General features: G+C 46.1%; 1 annotated feature.

The window, feature by feature from the left end:
• Positions 987 to 1,818: an enhancer, noted in NCBI's record as "NANOG-H3K4me1 hESC enhancer chr2:20581046-20581877 (GRCh37/hg19 assembly coordinates)". NCBI's record gives its function as "activates a minimal SCP1, AML or CMV promoter by ChIP-STARR-seq in naive H9 embryonic stem cells {active_cell/tissue: H9 hESC(naive)}" and the evidence as "EXISTENCE:reporter gene assay evidence [ECO:0000049][PMID:30033119]".

A 1,818-nucleotide genomic window follows, 5' to 3' on the forward strand; every position in this document is an offset into this window, starting at 1 on the left:
TTTTTTTTTTTTATTTTTAGACAGAATCTTACTGTGTTGCCAAGGCTGGAGTGCAGTGGCGCGATCTCAGCTCACTGCAACCTCCACCTCCCGGGTTCAAGCGATCCTTCCACCTCAGCCTCCCAAGTAGCTGGGAGTACAGGCGTGTGCCACCTCGTCCAGCTAATTTTTGTAAGTTTTAGTAGAGACGGGGTTTCACCATGTTGGCCAGGCTGGTCTCAAACTTCTGACCTTAGTGATCTGTCCCCCTCGGCCTCCCAAAGGGCTGGGATTACAGGCATGAGCCATCGTGCGCAGCCTGTTTCTTGACTTTAATAATTGCCATTCTGACTGGTGTGAGATAGTATCTCATTGTGGTTTTGATTTGCATTTCTTTAATGATCAGTGATGTTGAGCTTTTTTTTCATGTTTATTGGCTGCATAAATGTCTTTTTCTGAGAAGCGTCTGTTCATACAGAAAGAATTTCTTGACACCAATATTGTCCAGGGTATCAAAGGCCCTGGGCTGCTCCACTCCACCTCATGCAGGACCCTCTCCCTGGGCTTCTTGCCAGGGTGTGTGAGGCCCCAGTGCTTCCTAAAAGGCCCATTGTGACCAGAGATCCAAGGAGCTACATCTGAGAAGCATGCATGGCTCTGTGTTGCTGAAGGCATGGTTAAGCTAGGAGAAACTACATTTTCCCAAATGACGGGGACAAAAATGGAATGATCTTGTTGGGGAAAGAGTGTGCTTGGAAGGAACCCCTGGAACAGCAGGTTGGGGACCAGAGTGCTTGTCTAGAGGGGGCCCCAGCAGCCACGCCTCCCTTCTACCCTCTCCCTCCCCCAGCAGCCCAGGGACTAAGCTGTTAGAGTCCAAATTCATTTATTTTCACGTAGCTATCCAGTCTCCCAACATCATTTGTTGTAAAGACAATTCTCCATTGAATTATCTTGATACCCTTCTTGAAAATCAGTAGATCATAAATATATGAGTTTATTTCTCGATACTCTCAATTATATTCCATTATCCATGACTTATAGTAGTCAGCTAATGATTAGAAAGAGCTTTCCTTGAACACCTGATACCAAAATATCTCCCAGTCTTTGCAGATGGGCTTTTTGTAGGTGTTGGGACAGATCTTCAACATTCAGCCAGGTGGTTTGCAATTGTGCCTTAGCCCTCACCTGCTTGAACAGAGCCTGAGGGGAAGGTCACCCTGACATGGAATTTTAGAGCCTTATCAGGTCTTTTCTGAGCATGCGTACCACTTTAGGTGTGTGGCCTTCTAGATTTCCAGGAATCTATGAGAAGTTTTCAAAGTCCTTATTGCCCGAAGGAACTCATTCCCCTAGGCTTTCCATCCAAGTGCATTAGTTAGTCTATTGTATGCCTTGACTGTTAGCAATTGCTGCCTGCTGTGTTAGCTTGGCTGAGTTCCAAGTTAGATGAGCTAAGGGCAGGCCTTTTGAGCTGGTCTTCCAGGGACAGAACCAATAATTACAATTCTTTGTGTTCCCATTCTGCTCCCTCTGGGACAGTTTGTAATACTGGGAATACAGGCTGTTATTTTCAAGGCTACTGCTGAGCTGGGGAGAGGAGGATGAGACCAGAGTCAGTTAAAATGTCACAGAGACCCCCTGCTCTTACCAGGATGCAACTGTTTTACTAGCTTAGACACTCTCCTGATTACTATAAGCTTTTGATTAGTTTCCAGAATTCTGAAAAAGTTGGCTGAGTGTGGTGGCCCACATCTGTAATCCCAGCACTTTGGAAAGCTGAGGTGGAAGAGTCACTTGCCGCCAGGAGTTTGAGACTAGCTTGGGCAACATAGTGAC

This window comes from Homo sapiens, chromosome 2 (genome assembly GCF_000001405.40).
Source record: "Homo sapiens chromosome 2, GRCh38.p14 Primary Assembly".
In the NCBI taxonomy this organism is placed as follows: domain Eukaryota; kingdom Metazoa; phylum Chordata; class Mammalia; order Primates; family Hominidae; genus Homo; species Homo sapiens.